We start from the raw sequence: 21,949 nt of genomic DNA on the forward strand, positions 1-21,949 counted from the left end.
CCCCACATGCCCCACCCCCTCAGCTCTGCAAATACCAAGCAGTGCAGCCTGCCTAGGGGATGATGGGCTCGAGAGTGCCCAGGTAGTGCCCAGAGTGCCCTTGGCAGGCCCCTCACCTGGCTGCTTCCACAGCTCTGTAGCAAGAGTTCTAACCTTTTTTCACCGTGAAGCCTGCTGAGAATAAGAGCTGTGGACTGTTTTCCCAGAAAGGCATGTACATGCTCTCCACACAAAACCTTTCATTGTGGCCAAGCACAGTGGCTGATGTGATCCCAGAACTTTGGGAGGCGGAGCCAGTCGGATCACCTGAGGTCAGGAGTTCAAGACCAGCCTGGCCAACATGGCGAAACCCTGTCTCTACTAAAAATACAAAAAATTAGCCAGGCGTGGTGGCAGCCACCTGTAATCCCAGCTACTCCAGAGGCTGAGGCAGGAGAATCACTTGAACCTGGGAGGCGCAGGTTGTAGTGTGGTGAGATCACGCCACTGCACTCCAGCCTGGGCGACAGGAGCGAAACTCTGTCTCAAAAAACAAAACAAAACAAAACCTTGCATCCTTTCAGGGGGCTCACACCTCCCTAAGGGCCCAGTAATTAAACCCTTTGGGCCTGAGGGTGAGAAACTTTGTCTCAGTTCTTCCCCAAGTGATCAGCCCAGGGGTAAGGAAGGAGAAGCCAGAAAGCAGGACCCATGAGAAGGGCCCCCTCCTGGAGTTTGAGGCCCACTCCCTCCTGCCCCTGCCTCTCCTCTGTCCAGGACTCCTCCCTGCTCTGCCCCACTCCTGGGGCCATAACCATGGGGAGCTGTGGTTTTCTACAGGCCCCTGGGCACAAAGTGGGCAGGCTCACCTGGAGGCGATCAGAGTAACATGGCAGGAAGTGAGGGGGAAAGCCGCCCTGGAACTGCGCCTCTCTGCCCCCTGACGTCACTGGCGTGCACTCCTCCCTCCCCTCAGGCAGTGGCATGAGTTCCATGTGAGCGCTGTCCTGCTCCCTCTGCTGCCTCTTTTTTTTCTTGGGGCTGCCATAACACTTTCCCTTCCCCAGCCCTGCCAACCTGGTGGGACATTGGGCTTCCCTCTCACAGGGTCCTGGGGACAGGCCCATCCTTTATCATACCCACAGAGAGACCGTTTTTTTCTTCAGAACCTGGGGAGCAGCCAGGTTCCATGAGTTAAATGCAGATCTGAACCAAGCTGGGATTGGGGTACACACTCTCCTCTACTGAAAAGTAGCTAGGGATTCCAACTAGGTTAGAAGGAGAGTGGGGCAGAGCCAGACCAGACAAGGACTGATCACCTGGAAAAAGCCTGCCATCAAAGGTCTTGGCAAATGCTGGGTGCAGTGGCTCACTCCTATAATAGCAGCACTTTGCGGGGCTGAGACAGGTGGACTACTTGAGGCAAGGAGTTCGAGTCCAGCCTGGGCAACATGGCAAAACCGCATCTCTACTAGAAATACAAAAATTAGCTAGGCATGCTACACTCCTGTCATCCCAGCTACTCAGGAGACTGAGGCAGGAGAATCACTTGAACTGGGGAGGCAGAGGTCGAAGTGAGCCGAGATTGTGCCCCTGCACTCCAGTCTGGGAGACAGAGTGAAACTGGCCTCAAAAAAAAAAAGAATATGGCCTTGGCAGAGAGGGGCCAGCCCAGTAGTGCCTTCCCTTGGGTTTCTCCTGGGTAGGCCTCTGCCATGAGGAGGTGCTTCCTTCTGCCTGTCCGTGGCCCACAGCAATGGAATGTCTGTTTCTGGGGGTTGGGTGGGAGAGTGCTGGCAGAACTGGAAACCTTCAGGTGGGGTTTTTTTGTTTTGTTTTGTTTTCGAGATGGAGCGTCGCTCTGTCACCCAGGCTGGAGTGCAGTGGTGGAATCTCAGTTCACTGCAACCTCTGCCCCCCTGGGTTCAAACAATTCTCCTGTCTCAGCCTCCTGAGTAGCTGAGATTACAGGCATGTGCCACCATGCCCGGCTAGTTTTTGTATTTTTTGTATAGATGGCATTTCACCATGTTGGCTGGGCTGGTCTCGAACTCCTGACCTCAAGTGATCCACCCATCTCGGCCTCCCAAAGTGCTGGGATTACAGGCATGAGCCACTGAGCCCAGCCCCTTCAGGGGGGTTTTGAGGCTTCACTACAATACTAGTTTCCTGTGGCTGCTGCAACAAATTACCACACACTTAGTGACTTAAAACAACCAAAATGTATTCCCTTACAGGTCTGAAGGCCAGAATTCTACAGTAAGTCCTACTGAGTCAAGGTGGGAGCAGGGTCGGTAGCTTCCGAGGCTCTGCGGGAGAATCCGTTTCCTGGCCGTAGAGGTGGCCTGCACTCCGCAGCTTGTGCTGCCCGTCTCGAATGACTGGAGTTTCCTGCTTCTGTCACTACACCTCCCACCCTCTCCATCACCTGCTCTGCTCTTACAAGGATCCGAGTGAGTACATCAACCCCAAAAGCCAAAGACCCTTAACTTCATTATATCTGCAAAGTTCCTTTTGCCATATAAGGTCATGTTCACCAGTTCCCGGGATTAGGATATGGGCATCTTGGGGGCATCAGCCTGCTACAGCTAGGCTGCAAAACTGTTACACCCTCCTGGTGTTTCAATGATTGGGAGAAAAAGGGTTGGCATTTTTTGCTTAGGGGTCCCTCTTAAACTTGTATCTGTAAGGTCGGGGGTCCCTCTTAACCTTGTGTTTTTGTTTTTGTTTTTTTTGAGGTGGAGTCTTGCTCTGTCATCCAGGCTGGCAGTGGCGTGATCTTGGCTCACTGCAATGTCTGCCTCCTGGGTTCAGGTGATTCTCCTGCCTCAGCCTCCTGAGTAGCTGGGACTACAGGCGCCCGCCACCATGCCCTGCTGTTTTGTATTTTTGGTAGGGACGGGGTGGGGGGGGGGGCTAGGGAGGGGGGTTTTGGCTATGTTGCCCTGAGCTCAAAGTGATCCGCCTGCCTCTGCTGCCAAAGTGCTGGGATTACAGGCCTGCACCACTGCACCCGGCTGCTGTAAAGTCTTATTTCACACAGCTGAGACATGTTTTAGGAAGTTTGCTAAAAGACCCCTGGAGACCGCCTCATTGTGACCTCCCTGTTATTGTGTTTAATTTGATTGAACTTTTCTGCCCTCCTGCTTTTCAGCTTCTCTAATAGTCTCCCATTAAACCAATTCTAAGAACCACCAAGAAGGGGAAATTTTTTCTTGAAAGCAGTAAAATGATATGGACTGTTAGAATGTAAAATATATGAAATCAGTCATTATATGTTAGTGCTGCTCTGACATAGGGACGTGTTATTGAGAAGCAACTTTTGCTTGGTTTTCAGAGAAATGGAATCATCGTATCGCTGATCTACGTAAACAAACTGAAGAATTGTCTGAAAGAAAATATGGTATGTCTAAACTGGAAAAGTCTTGTAATCTTAGGTTCATGGGCGTTTACACAGTGGAGTTACTGTTCATCATGGGGGTACCGTGGACAATCCCAGGGCTGCCGGCGAGTCATGCCATCCTTATATGTTTCTCCTTGTAAGGTGCTTTGTAGTGTCTACACACTTTGTTTCTAGATTGCTGCAAAGCTGAGGAAAAGTTGTATTTCTTTAGTTATTAGTTAGCATTTCTTTTAAACTTTCAGTATGGAGATTGGAAATTTATTTACATATTTATTGCAAAGCCCTGGATCTTAGGAATTTCATTGAATTATTTATTTATTTTTTTTGAGACGGAGCCTCACTCTGTCGCCCAGGCTGGAGTGCAGTGGCACGATCTCGGCTCACTGCAACCTCCGCCTCCCGGGTTCAAGCAGTTCTCTGCCTCAGCCTCCCGAGCAGCTAGGATTACAGGCACCAGCCACCACGCCTGGCTGATTTTTGTATTTTTAGTAGAGACGGGGTTTCATGATCTTGGCTAGGCTGGTCTTGAACTGCTGACCTCCTGATCCACTCACCTCAGCCTCCCAAAGTGCTGGGATTATAGGTGTGAGCCACCATGCCTGGCCAAATATTATTTTTTTAAATGAATTGTTTCTCTTAGTCTGCTTTGTTAAATTTGGAATTCATCTGGGCGTGGTGGCTCACACCTGTAATCCCAGCACTTTGGGAGGCCAAGGCAGGCAGATATCTAGGTCGGGAGTTCGAGACCAGCCTGACCAACATGGAGAAACCCCGTCTCTACTAAAAATACAAAATTAGACGGGTGTGGTGGCGCATGTCTGTAATCCCAGCTATTCGGGAGGCCAAGGCAGGAGAATCGCTTGAACCCAGGAGGCAGAGGTTGCAGTGAGGCGAGGTTGGCACCATTGCACTGTAGCCTGGGCAAAAAGAGCAAAACTCCATCTCAAAATAAATAAATAAATAAAATGTTCAGTACTCACCAAGGTGCCCCTGTTGTCTCTACTTTTATCTTGATGCATCACTGAATTGATGTTAGATTTCAAATTCATCATTACACTGATACTATTCTATCCTGAAGCCACCTTTATATAGTGATGAAAGAAATTAGCGATTTGTTATTATCCTCTCTCTGTTGGTATGTATCAAATACTCACCTAAAAAAGAGCAACAACCAGTGGAAAACATGATGTTTTTATTTGGGTGACTATTTACTTGTAACCTACTAGCAAACTATAAAATTGTATGATATGCAGAATTTTAACTGAATTGCTTTAAGTGAACATTTAAACATGATAAACAATATTGATGGTATTTATGTTAATATACTTAAAATGAACATTTTTCTTCATCATGAGTAATATAACCTACTCCTCAATGAAAACCTAGCACTAAATTTGCTAATGTATTCAATAACATTTCCATAATATTTTTAGTTACATGCTTAAGGTTCTCTTAGTGTTTCTCCCACTTTTTAATAGCTTATGCCTTTTTCACCTTTGGTTTTTTTTTGGTTCATTTTAAAGCAAAAATCTCACAACATGTGATATCTGGAAACACTGTAACCTAGTGGTAAGACCATAGGCCCTGGGGACACAGGCTGGCCACGTCTCTTCTCCTGTCTGAGCTTTAGTATCCTCTTTTGTGGTCATGAGAACTGAAGATCTGTCCCGAAGATTTGATAAGATAGTAAAGTGCTTCACATAATACCAGACATATAAATACACAGTAAATGCTTCCTTCTTATATTTTTATTGATTGATTGATGGAGACAGAATCTTGCTCTCTTGCCCAGGCTGGAATGCAGTGGCGTGATAATGGTTTCTGCAACCTCCACCTCCTGGGTTCAGGCAATTCTCCTGCCTCAGCCTCCCGAGTAGCTGGGATTACAGGTGCCTGCCACCATGCCCAGCTAATTATTGTACTTTTAGTACAGACGGGGTTTTACCATGTTGGCCAGGCTGGTCTCGAACTCCTGACCTCATGATCTGCCTGCCTCGGCCTCCCAAACTGCTGGGATTACAGGTGTGAGCCACTGTGCCCAGCCTGTCTTTTCTCTTCACACCCGCAGTTCATGATGAAATATTAAATATGTACTAGTGGATATTACTTTGCTGAATATTGCCTAATGAATATTAAGTATTTATTCTCACCTTTCAGACATGAACTTATGAATTCAACAGGTGAAGATTTACAACTTGATAAATCAACTTTGTCAGGTACGTCTTCAGTCAAGTCAGATTAGAAGATTATGTGAGGTAATTAACACTTAACATTGATTTAATGGTAGCTTCCACATGAAATAGTATGCCTCTAAGTATTAATTATGTCCTAGGACAGGAGAATTCATGTTGTCAAAATTCTCATACTCTCTAGAACAATAAACTCATTTTCTTTTTATTAGTAAATATTGCATTTATGGGTAGACAAAACTGAAAGAACAATATTTGTTCTACTTTTGAGATGCAAGATTCATCTGGCATAATGCATTGAACAGGTTATTATTGAAGTCTACACCAGTCAACTGAATAAGCATTCATCAAATGTCCATGATATGCAGGACATAAGTTTTCTTTTAGAGTATGGAACCATGCATATTATCTTTTAATTAGATGATTTAGTTAGATATGTTTTTAAAGAACTAGAAATATAATTGTTTTTCTTGTTTTGGCTCTGGAGTGGAGTGGGGACGAAACAGAATGGATTCACACTTGTTTAGATTTACTAAAATGGAAAGATTGCAGCAAGATCATATCCCTAGTCTCCCTATAGCAAATGTCACCTGCTAGCTGTTTTTTTTTTTTTTTTGGAGGTTGAAGTTTTGTTCTGTCACGCACGCTGGAGTGCAGTGGTATGATCTCAGCTCATGGCAAGCTCACCTCCTGTGTTCAAGCAATTCTCCCTGCCTCAGCCTCCTAAGTAGCTGGGATTAAAGGCCTCTGCCACCACGCCTGCCTAATTTTTGTATTTGTAGTAGAGTTGGGGTTTCACCATGTTGGCCAGGCTGGCCTTGAACTCCTGACTTCAGGAGATTCACCCGCCTCAGCCTCCCAAAGTGCTTGGGATTATGGGTGTGTCACTGCACTTGGATTTAATGGGATATTTCACTACAGACTTCGGTAAACAGAATATTAGCATTTTTGGTGTTCTTTTTATTTTACTCATACTGTTTTTCTTTGGACTCAATCACAATAACAGAATTAAAGATCAAAGTGTAAAAGTTAAAGACCAGTACAGATTCAATAATTATTCTTTTCTACATACTGTGTTTAAATGATATCCCTTTTTCTTTTTTTTCTTATAGCTCGAGCTGTAAAAGCCAAAGGTCCGGTGATGATCCCATACCCTTTTTTCCAGTCTCATGTTGAAGATTTTTATGTAGAAGGCCTTCCCAAAGGAATTTTTTTTTTTTTTTTTTTTTTTTGAGATGGAGTTTTCACTCTTATCGCCCAGGCTGGGGTGCAATGGCGCAACCTTGCTGGTCACTGCAACCTCTGCCTCCTGGGTTCAAGAAATTCTCCTGCCTTAGCCTCCCAAGTCACTGGGATTACAGGTGCCCACCACCATACCAGGCTAATTTTTGTATTTTTAGTGGAGATGCGGTTTCACCATGTTGGCCGGGCCAGTCTCGAACTCCTGACGTCAAGTGATCTTCCCGCCTCGACTCCTGATATCAAGTGATCTTCCCGCCTCGGCCTCCCAGAGTGCTGAGATTACAGACGTGAACCCATGCCTGGCCAGGAATTTTGTTTTTTAGGAAGGCTTTCTACTAATGGAATTCCTGGCCTTGAGAGGATGTTACTTTAGAAGGAAAGGATTTTTTTGTTATTAAAAGGTAAGATTCCTGGATTCTTATTGGACTGTTGTCTCTGTTATGAGTAATCCATCTTTAGTCATTCACCACTAGGGTTGTATTTAATTAAGTCTGAGTTATTTTATGGTGGTTTTGTTTTGTTTTGCTTTGTTTTTACCGAATTTTGTTCTCATTGCCGTGGCTTGAGGGCAATGACGTGATCTCAGGTCACCACATTCTCTGCCTTCCAGGTTCAAGCAATTCTCCTGCCTCAGCCTCCTTAGTAGCTGGATTTACAGGCATGCGCCACCATGCCTGGCTAATTTTTTGTATTTTTAGTAGAGATGGTGTTTCACCATGTTGACCAGGCTGGTCTAGAACTCCTGACCTTGGGTGATCCACCCGCCTCGGCCTCCTAAAGTGCTGGGATTACAGGCATGAGCCACTGCGCCCAGCCTGGGCCTGCTTCTTTCTCTTTTTCTTTTTTTTTCATTAGCAGCTTAAAATTGGTGCCTTATTCAGACACAAGCAAAAGGACATTAGCCCAGCTTTGGAAATAGGTGAGAGCCCATATATGATTTTCCTAGTTTCTCCTCCCCCTTTGCTTTTTGCTCTCTTGTTAGTATATTAATTGTTTTCACTCTCTGAATCTTTTTTCCCCATTTCTTTGGCAGACATTTTTACTTGTCTTGGAAGAGTAGGTGAAGAGCTGTTTTTAGGACTCTTTGAAAGGGTACAGTATGGGTGACAGTCTTGGCTAATGGTAACATCCAGGGAGCTGGGTTCAGCGTGAGCTGGAATCAGTTCAAATTAGCAAAGCACTGGCACTCAGTAGCAGGAATACAAGTGACTGCAAAGTGTTAAACACATCTGGAAAGGGATACTGACATCATCCTCAGAATCTGTGGGGAGTTCACATAGCCAGTTAAGACCCATTCTTCTTTGACCCTGTAAAGATTCTTTAAAGAATAAATACCCTTAGTGGTTTTCTAGCCAGCTTGCCTGCTCATTTATCTTTGAGGACGACATGCCTTGTGGAGCTCCACAGGCCCCAGAGGGGTATGGATTCTGCATTTAAAAGTGCTGAAGCTGAGAGACTGGGTCTTGGTGGACCCCGAGAGGTCTGTTTCTCCTCTACTCATTGTTCCTTTTTTTCCCAACAGCTGGCATTGCTGTTTAAATGGGTTGTTCTTTGCTGTTTTAAGTTGTTTCATAGTGGTGTGTCAGGATTTGGGTTTTCTTAATACTTTCCAAGCTGGTGACTTGAGTGGTGGTTAGGGAGGAAATGTTTTAGGGCTGTTCTGGAGCTATTGAGGTCAGGTGTCTAGATACTCCCAGCTTGTCTGTTGAGGAGAATGCTGTTCTCATTGTGCTGCCTTTGGTGGTGCTGTGTGTGGCTCTTTAGATGTGCGTGGAGGTGAGCTGGGGGAGTTAATGAGATCTTTTTTAGGTGCTTTTCATAAAGTAGCCTGCACTACAGGATTCACTGTGACTTTTTTCCTTAACCTATGCATTTCTCTCTGCTAGCTTTTGCTGTCTTTCTCATGCCTTTGATTTTCCCAGCTCCTCTTAGTTGAATTAACCTAAGTGCTCTGCTATGGTTTAAATGTGTCCCCCAAAGTTTATGTGCTGGAAACTCAATCCTCAATGCAACAGTTGGGATGTGGGGCCTAATAAAATAGCCTTCATGAATGAGTTAATGTTGTTATTGTGGTAATAGATTAGTAATCACAGAGTGGGCTTATTATAAAACAGAGTTCAGCCCCTTTTGCCCTCTTGCTTTCTTGCACTCTCTTTTCCTTCTGCCTTCTGTAGTGGGATGATGCAGCAAGAAGACCCTTACCAGATGCAGGCCCCTCAACCTTGGACTTCCTAACATCCAGAACTGTTAAGAAATAAAATTTATTCCTTTCCTTTCCTTTTCTTCCTCCTTTCCCTTCTCTTCCCTTTTCTTCCCTTCCCCTCCCTCCCTCTCTCTCTCCCTCCCTCCCTCCTTCCCTCCCTTCCTCCTTCCCTCTTTCTCTCTTTCCCTTCCTTCCTTTCCTTCTTTCCCTTCCTTCCTTTCCTTCCCTCCTTCCCTTTTTCCCTCCTTCCCTCCTCCCTTCCTTTTTTCTTTCCTTCCTTTTTTCCTTTTTATAAATTATGCAGTCTGTGGTATTCTTTTATAGAAGCATGAAATGGACAAAGACTCCATTTTCAAGAGCAAGCACTTTTGTAGTTTCTGAGCGAACTATGACTGCAAAGGAAGTTCTATAGGTAGCCTCAGATCCACTACCTAGGAAGCATGCTACCAAGCAGACCTAGGATCTAGGATTTGATCAAGTGCTGGGCAACATGATACCTCTGCAATTTAGCACTTCCCTATATACCTCCAGTTGGCTCAGCCCATTAGGGCTAAAACTACCCCTCATATCCTAGTGTCTCTTGTAGGCAGAAGCCTTGCCTAAACCCTAAGCTGCTTGGCTCACATTCTCTCTTGTGCTTTTTTTGTAGGGGGTTCAAATATACACAAAAGAAATATGTTGAACCTCCATGCACCCAACCCGCAGATTAAGCAGTTACCTCCATTTTTCCAGATTTGTTTCATCTGCTTCAATCTCCCTAAAAATTTATGTTTGTACAGGAAAGACTGAATAAATAGCTAATTTTCCACCCTACCTCTCATCTTAAGTCACTTTTCAGAGTAGTAAGTTAGTGACCTAGTAACCTTCCCTCTAATGACCAGTAGTTTTTTTTTCTGAATACCATTATGAACTCATAGATTATTGTTTGCATTTGATGTATTTCAGGCCATTGCAGTCTTTATTGTTTTGGATGCTTACATTGTCTCATCTAGGTTAATAATTATCTCTTCAAGTTGACTTTCATGTCTTTTTGAAGTGATCCTGTTGGACTTTGATGGCTTCCTTGCTTTCTGGCAAAACAGATGTTCCAGGATCAATATACTGCACCATACATGGAGTCAGCCATTTCTCTAGGGAACCTTGATTCCTTTTAGTAGAGAACACAGTTTGAGGTCTTGGACTGAATGACTTTTGTGAACCTCCTCTCCTGAGACTACAGCCTGCATCCCTGCATATAGCCCGTTTGGAGCTCTTGCTGGGCACCAACAGATCTCCTAAAACTGCTATATAGTTCTGCCTCACTCTTACAAAGATTCATCTCTTGAGAGTTTTGTGCTCTACCCCCAGATGTGGTCTTTCTGGTTATGAAGCTTTTGCTTCAGTCACCCTGAATTTTGCCAGCCCTATGCATGCTATACCTTGGATTGCCAACTTGCCCTCACTGAAGCCAGTTTCTCTGGTTAGAATAGTTGCCCAAACCCATGCCTAATACTCTAGTAAACAAGGTTCTACCTGGGCTTAGGTTAACTTTTGCTCCTTTGGGCCCTGTGTTCTACCAGCATTCCATTTATCTGAAACTCTCCCTCACCTTAAGAACTCATCTGTTCTTTAATGATTTACTGCTGCTTCCTGGGCTCGAAAGAACCCAGTTCAGGAGTTTCTGTTTTAGTTTGAGATCTTATAGGCCTGTCTCATCAGGTTGGTGTCAGCCCAGCTAGGATTAGGCAGAATTGGGTGGGGGCTGTAGTGCATTTTTGGCACAGCATGTACCTGTCTGACTAATTCTCTGTCTTTTCTTTCCTGTTGCAATTCATGGGTCTTAGCATCTTCTGAATGGTGTTTAGTAGGTCATCCTGTTGATTTCCTGCTAGGGAGTAGCATACTCTGGCTCTGTACCACTGGCCAAGGGACTTAAGGATAGATGAAGGGCTGCAGTTTTGTTAAATGGAACAATATGAAGAGATGGCATTGTTTAAAAAAAAAAAAAAAGGCTTGGCAGCAGGGCCCATTTGAATGGTTGGTCCTTGGCTCCTTTGTTGATATAGGCAGATCCTTGATGGGAATTTGGAATGATCCCAAATATTGTAGATCACTGGTACATCAAGTCATCCTCAAGGTTGTCTGTGTAACAGTCTTGAATGATATTTTGTCAGTCTTTGGAGATTCTCTGTATAGGGTTTAATCATTTAGTTATTTCAGTTGAGCCTGTTTAGTTTCTTTGCAAGGAGATAAGAAATGTGAAAGAGATGCAGACATTAGGGAAAAAAAGTCAGGAGCCTTGTTTCCCCATCCTCTACTTGGGTTCTGGAACTAGACTCATAGGTGAGTAGTGAGGAGCTGGGCCCAAGCACATTAATCCTAGATCTAGCTCTGCTTTGCCCTCGCTCCAGTTCTTGTATCAAATTCACTTCAAGCCACCCAGAGTAGTATGTAGAGGAGTCATTCAGGACCATGCTCATACTTCATTGTATCAAATGGGAGATCCAGTAATTTATAGCCTGTTGTTTCTGGAGCCTGGAGATGGCTCTGCATAAGATTTGCCGAAGCAAATTTTATTACATTAGAAGAGAACCTAGCTGGCTGCATCCTACACTGGAAGCTTTTAGATGCTAATAAGGAGGTCATGTAAAGGTCACAGAATGACTCTGGAATCCATTCCCCACCAAGAAAGAATAATGACATTCTATGTTGGCCTCTTTTCATTTCCCTTTGGTTTTGAGTAATAAATTCTCTCCTCACTTCCCAGTCGAACTGTTTGGGAGTCTCTATTCCCTAGAAAGACTCTGGTCACATACCCATCAGATTAAATTAGGTGAAAACTCTTTGGCCTTCATGAATGTTGAAGGATTTCAAAGGGCTAATGGAAATTCTTCTAGAAGTAACTGCAACCTCCGCCTTCCGGGTTCAAGCGATTTTCCTGCCTCAGCCTCCCAAGTAGCTGGGATTACAGGTGTCCACCACCATGCCCAACTAATTTTTGTATTTTTAGTAGAGACGGGGTTTCACCATGTTGGCCAGGCTGATCTAGAACTTTTGACCTCAGGTGATCCGCCCGCCTCAGCCTCCCAAAGTGCTGGGATTACAGGCGTGATCCACCGCGCCCAGTTAAACTTCAGTTTTTCATGTTCCATGCATTGGTCAGGGTCTTAGGGAGTGATTCATTCTAGCAGAACTCCCTGGATTTTAAGGCAGATGTTCCATTTATTAATTGACAAAGGAGGCATATTTCTCCCCTGGTAACCCAAAGATTTAGGTCATTTTCCCAGAGACTCCATTTCCACTGTGAGGGTTCTTGGAAAACTAAGCAGAGGATGAGGAAAAGTCTGTGAACAAGCTTGCTGGTCTCTCCCTGTCCTACAAAAGAGCATACCTCTTCTGTAACCAGAAGGCCCTTTTGATTAGTCAAGGCTGGACAGAGTGAGATTGGGTGTGTGTGTGTGTGTGTGTGTGTGTTTGTGTGTGTCTTAAGACAGGGTCTCACTCTGTCACCAAGGCTAGAGTGCAGTGGTGAGATCAGAGCTCACTGCAGCTTCCACTTCCTGGGCTCAAGCGATCCTCCTATTTCAGCCTCCAGAGTAGCTGGGACTATACGAATGTTTTACCGCACCCAGTTCATTTTCTAATTTTTTGTAGAGATGAGGTTTCACTGTGTTGCTCAGGCTGGTCTTGAACTCCTGGCCTCACGGAATCCTCCTGCCTTAGTCTCCCAGTGGGCTGGGATTATAGGTATGAGCCACCTCACCTGACCTGCGACGATTTTTCAATGATGTAATTTCTCTTTTACAGAGCCACCTAAGCTGAAGATTCCCTTGAGAACAAGTACTGTCCCTAGTTTCCCAGTGCTGGAATATAGAAAATGGATGGACAAGTAAATCCCACTCAGCACCCATAGTCCAGGCATGGGGACCTCAACACACCTGAGCCCCAGACATCACCTTTCATTGTGAGTAGCTCTGAGATGACACTTCTGCTGTTCCCAATTCCAGCATTAATTGGATTAGATAGTTATTTTATGAAGAATTTTCATATGCCACAATCCTGACCATATCTTCAAGTGAACAGAAAAATTCTATTAAAAAGTCAACCTTCTGTCTCACTCTGTTGCCCAGACTGGAGTGTAGTGGTGCAATTATGGCTCACTGCAGCCTCAACCTCCTGGGCTCAAGCAATCCTCCTGCCTCAGCCTCACAAGTAGCTGGGACTACAGGTGCTTGTCACCACACCTCACTAATTTTCCCATTTGTGTTATATGTGGATTCCACAGGACTGACTTCGAAAACTTGAGTATGCGTGGATTTTGGTATACACAGAAATGGGAGAGCTGGAACTAATCCCCCCATATACCAAGGGACAAATTGTATCTGTTTCTACAGTTATACAGTAGGAGACATTATGTTCCATGACAATGGTAATTTTTAACGACAGTTTTTAATTGAGTGAAATTACCATAAAAATAATAATAGTAGCAGCTAATATTTACTGAGCTGTTACTAGGTGCCTATAAATAGCATAGATTTTTAAATTCTCCATAATTCTTCCTTATTTCACTTAACCACCCTATCTTAAATTACTCATGCTTGCCTCAGTAGCACACATACTTAAGTTGGAACAATAGAGAGATTGGCACGGCCTCTGTGAAAGAATGACATGCAAATTTGTGAAGCATTCCATATTTTTTTAAAAAAAGAGAAAAAAATTACTCCCAGATTTTCACTGTGTTTGTGCATATGACCTTTTGTTTAGGTTGAATTATATCCAAAGGTGAAATTTCCAGAAGTGAGATTACTGTGAGTCACAGGGCATGAGCATTCTTATTACCCTCGATGTAAATTGCAAAGCTTTCAGGCATGGTGGCTGTCAGCCTGTAATTCCAGCACTTTGGGAGGCTGAGGTGGGAGGATTGCTTGAGGCCAGGAGTTGGAGGAGGCAGTATAATGAGTCACTGTCTGTATGATTTAAAAAAAATTTCCAAGCTTTATGCTGGAAGGCTTATATACATTTTAAACACCACTAATACTACAAGAAAATGGCCATTTCACTGCACCTTCGCCCACACAGGTATTATAATTTAACAAGTTATTTTCTGTGTGATAAATGAAAGACCTCCTATTAGCTGGGATTACAGGCATATGCCACCATGCCTGGTTAATTTTTGTATTTTTAGTAGAAACGTGGTTTCACCATGTTGATCAGGCTGGTCTCGAACTCCTGATCTCATGATCTACCCGCCTTGGCCTCCCAAAGTGCTTGATTACAGCTGTGAGCCATGTGCCCAGCCTATTTGTCACATATTTTATCTTTCCTTATGTTAGCTTATTAGCTTTATTTCTTTATTGTCCTTTTTTTTTTTTTTGAGATGAAGTCTCGCTCTGTCTCCTAGGCTTCAGTGTAGTGGCACAGTCTCAACTCACTGCAGCCTTGACCTCCTAGGCTCAGGTGATCCTTCCACCTCAGTAGTTGGGACTATAGGCACATGCCACTATGCCTGGCCAATTATTTTTATTTTTTTATTTTTACTAGAGAGGAGGTCTTGCTTTGTTTCTTAGGCTGGTCTGGAACTCCTGGCCTCAAGCAATCCCCCCACCACCCCCTCCCAAAGTACTGGTATTATAAGCATGAGCCACCATGCCTGGGGTATCTGTGTCTTTTCCATTTATTTATAGAGTTACTTTGTCTTTTACTAATTCAATGATCTGTTTAATCTTTTATTAAATTATAAAAATGATAAATACTTTTAAATAAGTGAAAAATGTCCTTCACTCTTTAGACCCATAATCTTATCTCAGGAAATAATTGCAGTTGAGAAAATGGGCCATATCCTTCAAGATACGTACATGGTGATTGAACATCACTTCATATTTTCATATTTCGTGGACATTTGTGCCAATACCTATTGATCTATCTTAATCCTTTTCATGGTTGCATAATATTTTATTATATGGATGTATCACAATTTACCAGTACCAGTCAACTGCTGGAGGCATTTAGGCTCCTTCTAATATTTGCTTTGAGCTCTTTATATAATTAAAAATTAACCCCCTCAGCCAGGTGTGGCAGCTCACACCTGTAATCCCAGCATTTTGGAAGGCTGAGGTGAGAGAACTGCCTGAGTGTAGGAGATCACCACCAACCTGGTCAACATAGTGACACTTTGTCTCTACTAAAAATTAAAAAAAAAAAATGAGCTACACGTTGCAGTGCACACCTGTAGTCCGAGCTACTGGGGAGGCTAAGCCTGGAGGATCACTTGAGTCTAGAAGGTTGAGGCTGCAGTAAGCTATGATCACACCATTGCACTTTAGCTTTGCTAAGAGCAAGACTGCATTTCTTAAACAAAATAAAAATTAGATGGGAATATTGCTCAAGCCCTGGAGGTTGAGGCTGCAGTTAACTGTGATTGCACCACTGCAGTCCAGCCTAGGTGATAGAGCAAGACCCTTTCTCTAAAAATAAAATAAAATAAAAATTAACCTTCTATCATATTTCCCAGTAACACCTTCCCTCCTACATTTCTCCTAGAAGCCCTTAAATTTTGTTTTTCACATATCGTTTAAAACTTTTAAGTGCTGATGTCTGTCTGTGTCATCCCTCTTTTTTTTTTTTTTTAAATGTCTTTTTGTCACTTCTAGCTGGACCTACCATGAAAGACTTCTGAATCCAGGAAGAGAAACTGACTGGGCAACATGTTATTCAGGTACAAAAAGACTTGGACTGTAACTCAAAAATGATCAAATAATAGTGCATGCATCAAGTGCAATCGGAAGCTCTTCTGGAGAGGGAGAGAAGCTTCCAGTTAAGGTGACATTGAAGCCAAGTCCTGTAAGATAAGGAAGAGTTGTATGAGAGTGGGGAGGGAAGGGGGAGGTGGAGGGATGGGGATTGGGCTGGGATGGGATGGAGTGAGCTGCCCAGGCAGGGAAACCAGCACTATACAGACCTGAACAATGAAGATGGTACATTTTGTTCAGGGAATGGTGAATTAAGTGTGGCAGAAATGCTTTGTAGAGACAGTAATTTGCTTGTATGGAATTTTGCCCAAGAGACCTCATTACAGTTTCTAATTTTTTGATGTTATCATGCATCACTGCCCTTGTCAGATAGTATCATGATCACAATAACATCAAGCATAATATTTCATTGATTCTCACAAAAACAGGTGGGTGCCACAGTTATCCCCATTATATGCACAAAATGATGAAGACTTGGGGTTAATGAGTGATTTGCCCAAGCTCACCTGAATATTAGGACTGAGTCAAATGTTAGTCTGGTCTGACTTTAATGCTTGCCTTGTTCATGAGCACCATGCATTGCCTCTCCTATTAAGTTAAGCAGGTAGACAGGTGAGAGAAGAGCCAGTGTGATATCGGGGGAAATTCACCCCTGATATTTCATGTAGGTTCTTTTCTATTTTCCCTGAGTGTCAGCCAGTCTGAGAAATAAAGGGAAAGAGTACAAAAGAGAGAAATTTTAAAGCTGGATGTCCAGGGGAGACATCACACGTCGGCAGGTTCCGTGATGCCCCCCAAGCCGCAAAACCAACAAGTTTTTATTAGTGATTTTCAAAAGGTGAGGGAGTGTACGAATAGGGTGTGGGTCACAGAGATCACATGCTTCACAAGGTAATAAAATATCACAAGGCAAATGGAGGCAGGGCAAGATCACAGGACCACAGGACCGGGGCGAAATTAAAATTGCTAATGAAGTTTCGGGCGCGCATTGTCATTGATAACATCTTATCAGGAGAAAGGGTTTGAGAGCAGACAACCCATCTGACCAACATTTATTAGGCGGGAATTTCCTTGTCCTGATAAGCCTGGGAGCGCCACGTGAACCCAGGGCTTATTTCATCCCTTATCTATGACTGTAAAAGACAGCCGTCCCCAAAGCGGCCATTTCAGAGGCCTCCCCTTAGGGATGCATTCTCTTTCTCAGGGATGTTCTTTGCTGAGAAAAAGAATTCAGCAATACTTCTCCTATTTGCTTTTGAAAGAAGAGAAATATGGCTCTGTTCAACCCGGCCCACAGGCAGCCAGAGTTTAAGGTTATCTCCCTTGTTCCCTGAAATTGCTGTTATCCTGTTCTTTTTTCAAGGTGCCCAGGTTTCATATTGTTTAAACAACTTGTGCAGTTAACGCAATTATCACAGGGTCCTGCGGGGACATTCATCCTCAGCTTACGAAGATGACCGGATTAAGAGATTAAAGACAGGCATAGAAAATCACAAGGGTATTGATTGGGGAAGTGATAAGTGTCCATGAAATCTTCACAATTTATGTTCAGAGATTGCAGTAATGACAGGCCTAAGAAATTATAGAAGTATTAATTTGGGGAACTAATAAATGTCCATGAAATCTTCACAATTTATGTTCTTCTGCTGTGGCTTCAGCCAGTCCCTCCGTTTGGGGTCCCTGACTTCCTGCAACACGTTTCTCTCTACTCACAGACTTCTGACCAAATGTGTGTGCAGAGTTTCTACACCAGTTCTCCAACTCTCTGGATACCAACCGCGTATCCCACAATTCCATTCTGACACTACCTAGAGTTAGCACAGAACCCACAGGTTAGGGGCTCAGTCCCACAAGACCACCCTCACTTCAGATGCCAGTTGCAAGTCCTAGGTTGTCACCTGTATTTTGACCAACCAGTTAGAAATCAGGGTTTCCCATGACCCTCTTGTTGAGTTTAATTATTTACTAGAACAACTCACAGAACTTAGAAAAACAAGTTTTTTTTCTTTTCTTTTTAAGAGACAGGGCCTCGCTCTGTTGTCCAAGCTGGTGTGCAGTGGTGCAATCATAGCTTATTGAAGCCTCAACGTCCAGGGCTCAAGTGATTCTCCTGCTTCAGCCTCTCAAGTAGCTGGAATTACAGGGTTCCCACCACCACATTTGGCTAATTTCTTTTATTTTTTGTATAGATGGGGTCTTCTTATGTTGCCCAGGTTGGTCTCAAATTCCTAGGCTCAAGTGATTCCGCCCACCTCTGCCTCCCAAAGTGCTGGGATTACGGGCATGAGCCAGTGCATCTGGCCACCTTATTTTCTATTACTGGCTCAATGTAATGGCTCCATCTCAGGAACAGCCAATGAAAGAGATGCACAGGACAAGGTAAGTGGGGAGGGGCACAGAGCTTCCATGCCCTCTGTTGGGCACACTACCCTCCCAGGACCTCCTTGTGTTTAGCAACACAGAAGCTCTCCAAACCCTGCTGTTTGGGTGTTTATGGAGGCATGATTGATAAAATCACTGGCCATTGGTAGTTAAGTCAATCTCCAGTTCCTTTTGCCTCCTGGAGTTCAGCAGGTGAGGCTGAAAGTCCCAAGCCTCAAAAAATGTGGTTGGGGCCAGGTGCGGTGGCTCACTCCTGTAATCCTAGCAGTTTGGAAGGCTGAGGCACATGGACCACTTGAGGTCAAGAGTTTGAGACTAGCCTGACCAACATGGTGAAACCCCGTTTCTACTAAAAATAACAACAGTTAGCTAGGCGTTGTGGCACATCCCTATAATTCCAGCTACTCGGGAGGCTGAGGCAGGAGAATTGCTTGAACCCGGGAGGTGGAGGTTGTAGTGAGCTGAGATTGTGCCATTGCACTCCAGCCTGGGCTACAAGAGCCAAACTCCGTTTAAAAAAAAAAAATGTGGTTGCTTTCTCTGGCAGCTAGCCCTCCTCCTGAAGCAGTCTCGGAGCTTGCAGCCACCCTGTTAGCTCAACAGCATCCCACATGCATTCTTACCATGCTGCAGATCTGAAAGACCTTAGAGGCCCTTGTGTCAGGAACCTGGGACTAAGACTAAATATCAAAACAGAAAATGCTCCTATTACCTCTGTCACGAAGGGCTTTATAAGAGCTTTGGAAGCTCTATGCCAGGAACCACGGGCAGAGACCAAATGTATATTTCTTTTCTTATATCGGAGACAGAGTCTCACTCTGCCACTGAGGCTGGAGTGCAGTGATGTGATCATAGCTCACTGCAGCCTTGACCTCCTAGGCTAAAGCAATCCTCCCACCTTAGCCTCTCCAGTAGCTGGAACTACAGGCATGCATCACCATGTCCAGCTGATTTTAATTTTGTAAAGGCAGGATCTTCCTATTTTCCCCAGGCTGATCTCTAACTCTTGGCCTCAAGCAATCCTTCCTCTTTGGCCTCCCAAAATGTTGGGATTACAGATGGGAGCCCCCATACCCACCAATCACAAGGATCTTTATAAGAGAATGAGGTAGGAGAGTCAGAATTAGAGAAAGTGATGTGGTAATGGAAGAAGAGGTCAGAGAGGGAGATTTGAAGATGCTGCACTTCTGGCCTTGAATATGGAGTCACGAGGTAAGTCAAGGAATGGAGGTGGCTTCTAGAAGCTGGAAAAGGCAAAGGAGCACATTCTGTCTAGAGCCTCCCCCAGAAGGAATGCAGCCTCTCTGACACCTTGACTTTAGCCTTGATAGACCTAGTTGGGCTTCTGGCCCCCAGAACTGTAAGATGGTAGATTTGTGGTGTTTGATGCCACTAAATGTAGGGTACTTTGTTGTAGCAACAACAAAAAATGAACATGAAGCTGGGACCTCATGTTACAGTTGCTCACGCCTGTAATCCCAGAACTTTAGGAGGCTGAGGTGGGAGGATCGCTTAAGCCCAGGAGCTTAAGACCAGCCTGGGCAACATAATGAGACCTCATGTCTAAAAAAAAATGTTTTTAAAGGCCAGGCGCAGTGGCTCACGCCTGTAATCCCAGCACTTTGGGAGGCCGAGGAGGGTGGATCACGAGGTCAGAAGTTCAAGACCAGCCTAGCCAAGATGGTGAAACCCCATCTCTACTAAAAATACAAACATTAGCCAGGTGTGGTGGTGGGTGCCTGTAATCCCAGCTACTTGGGAGGCAGAGAATCACTTGAACCCAAAAGGCAGACATTGCAGTGAGCCAAGATCGCACCCTTACACTTCAGCCTGGGCGACCGAGACTCCGTCTCAAAAAAAAAAAAAAAAGCCATGTGTTGTGGCATGCAGCTGTAGTCTCAGTTCCTAGGGTGGCTGAGGCGGGAGGATTGTTTAAGCCTGGGAGGTTGAAGTTGCTGTGAGCTGTGATTGCACCAGTGTACTCCAGCCTGGGCAATAAAGCAAGACCTTATTTCAAAAAGAAAGAAATGAGCATGGTGGGAATGGGGACAGATGGCAGTGTTAAGTAGAGTGGTCAGGGTTGGCCTCATAAGTGAATACTGAGCAAAAGTTTGAAGCAGGTGATGGAGCTGGCCAAGGTGCTGAGGGAAGAGCATTGTAGGCTGAGTCAACAGGATAAAGGCATTAGGAGGAAACTCTCTGGTGTGTCTGAGGCTCTGGAAGGAGGCCAGTGGAGCAAAGAGATAGAGGGAGCGAAGTCAGCGAGGAGGCCAGGGAGTTGCTGGGCTGGGATCGGTACAGATCGTGTAAGCCCTGGGACGCTATTGCTGGGGCTTTGGCTTTTACTCTGACTAAAATGGGAACCACCAAGGGCTTCTGAGCAGAGAGGCGACATGATCCGTCTCCTGATTTAAAAGCACGACCTGGCTGCCGAGTTGAGAAAGACTATGGGAAGATTTGGGTAGAAGCATGGGGGCCAAGCTGTGGCAACATCCCGGTGGGAGATGATAGTGATCCTGACGGGGTTCATGGTGGTGGTGAGAGATGGTTAGAGCCTGGATACATATTGAAGTCAGTCAGTAGGATTTCCTGACAGACTGGATGTGAGCTGTGAGAGAAGGCAGTGGTCAAGGTTGAGTTTGATTCTGATTGAATTATTAAGTAATTTTAAAAAACACTACTGCTTTTCCCAATCCTACCAAGTAAAGGATGCTAGATAAAAGAAATCTCAAGTCAGGCCAGGTACAGTGGCTCACACCTATAGTTCCAACAGTTTGAGAGGCAGAGATGGGAGTATGTTTTAAGGCCATGAGTTTGAGAGCAGCCTGGGCAACACAGCAAGACCTCCTCTCTACAAAAATAAAAAAAATAAATTTAATAAAATAAAATAAATATAGCCAGGCATGATGGTATGTACCTATGGCCCCAGTTACTCATGTGGCTGAGATGGGCAGATCTCTTGATTCTAGGAGTTTGAGGCCAGCTTGGGCAACATAGCAAGTCTTCTCTCTCTACAAAAATGAAAAAAATGCCTGACATGGTGGTACTTGCCTGTATTCCCAGGTATGGGGGCAGCTGAGGCTGGAGCATCTCTTGAGCCCAGTTGGTCAAGGTTGCAGTGAGCTATGATTATACCACTGCACTCCATCCTGGGTGACAGAGTGGGACCCTGTCTCAAAATACAAATACAAATGAAATCTCAAGTCAGACCAGTCCCTTCTAGGCTATGTAGGCCTTGTAACCACATAGCTGCATGATCGGGTTTGTGTGGCTGTGGATGAGGAGACCCCTGTCCAATTGTTGGCTATGTAATCAGTTTATTTTTCAATATAGTAATCAAATATATTTCATCATACTTGATGGTCTCAGATATGTGTGGATTTTGGAATTCCCCTTGGAACAGGTTGTAACATCTTATTGGCTCCATAATTCCATAATTTTTTTAATCTGATCAGTTTTTAATAAGATCGCAATTTATATTAGACTACTTAATCGGTTTTGTTAATGACAAAATGAAATTGTGTTGTTTGCATTTTATCCAAGATGGGTGTCATATTGGGTAAATCTCATCAATACTTGAACAAATGCAAAATTAGAGCTTCTTTATCATGAAACACGATGTAATTCTTGAAGAAGATGCCATTTCTTTTTTTTTCTTTTTTTTTTTAAGATAAGAGTCTTTCTCTTGTCACCCAGGCTGGAGTGCAATGGTGCGATTTTGGCTCACTGCAACCTTCACCTTCTGGGTCCAAGCAATTCTCCTGCCTCAGCCTCCCGAGTAGCTGGGATTACAGGTGCCCGCCACCATACCCAGCTAATTTTT

The 21,949-nt window shown here is 44.3% G+C and overlaps 2 long non-coding RNA genes and 1 pseudogene across 2 annotated transcripts in view; all 3 read left to right on the plus strand.

Annotated features, from left to right (window-relative positions):
- FAM157C (family with sequence similarity 157 member C) overlaps positions 1-21,949 on the plus strand; it is a 75,343-nt gene that overhangs the window by 28,739 nt on the left and 24,655 nt on the right. The window lies entirely within an intron of this gene.
- LOC105376781 (uncharacterized) overlaps positions 1-21,949 on the plus strand; it is a 34,672-nt gene that overhangs the window by 3,952 nt on the left and 8,771 nt on the right. The window contains exons 4-11 of the long non-coding RNA NR_170196.1: positions 2,217-2,238; positions 3,317-3,382; positions 5,540-5,598; positions 6,684-6,704; positions 6,972-7,214; positions 12,803-12,959; positions 15,646-15,710; positions 17,934-18,123. This is a non-coding gene — a long non-coding RNA (uncharacterized LOC105376781). The remainder of the gene's footprint in view (positions 1-2,216; positions 2,239-3,316; positions 3,383-5,539; positions 5,599-6,683; positions 6,705-6,971; positions 7,215-12,802; positions 12,960-15,645; positions 15,711-17,933; positions 18,124-21,949) is intronic.
- Positions 13,590-13,693, plus strand: RNU6-355P (RNA, U6 small nuclear 355, pseudogene; annotated as a pseudogene).

Source organism: Homo sapiens, chromosome 16 (assembly GCF_000001405.40).
Source record: "Homo sapiens chromosome 16, GRCh38.p14 Primary Assembly".
In the NCBI taxonomy this organism is placed as follows: Eukaryota; Metazoa; Chordata; class Mammalia; order Primates; family Hominidae; genus Homo; species Homo sapiens.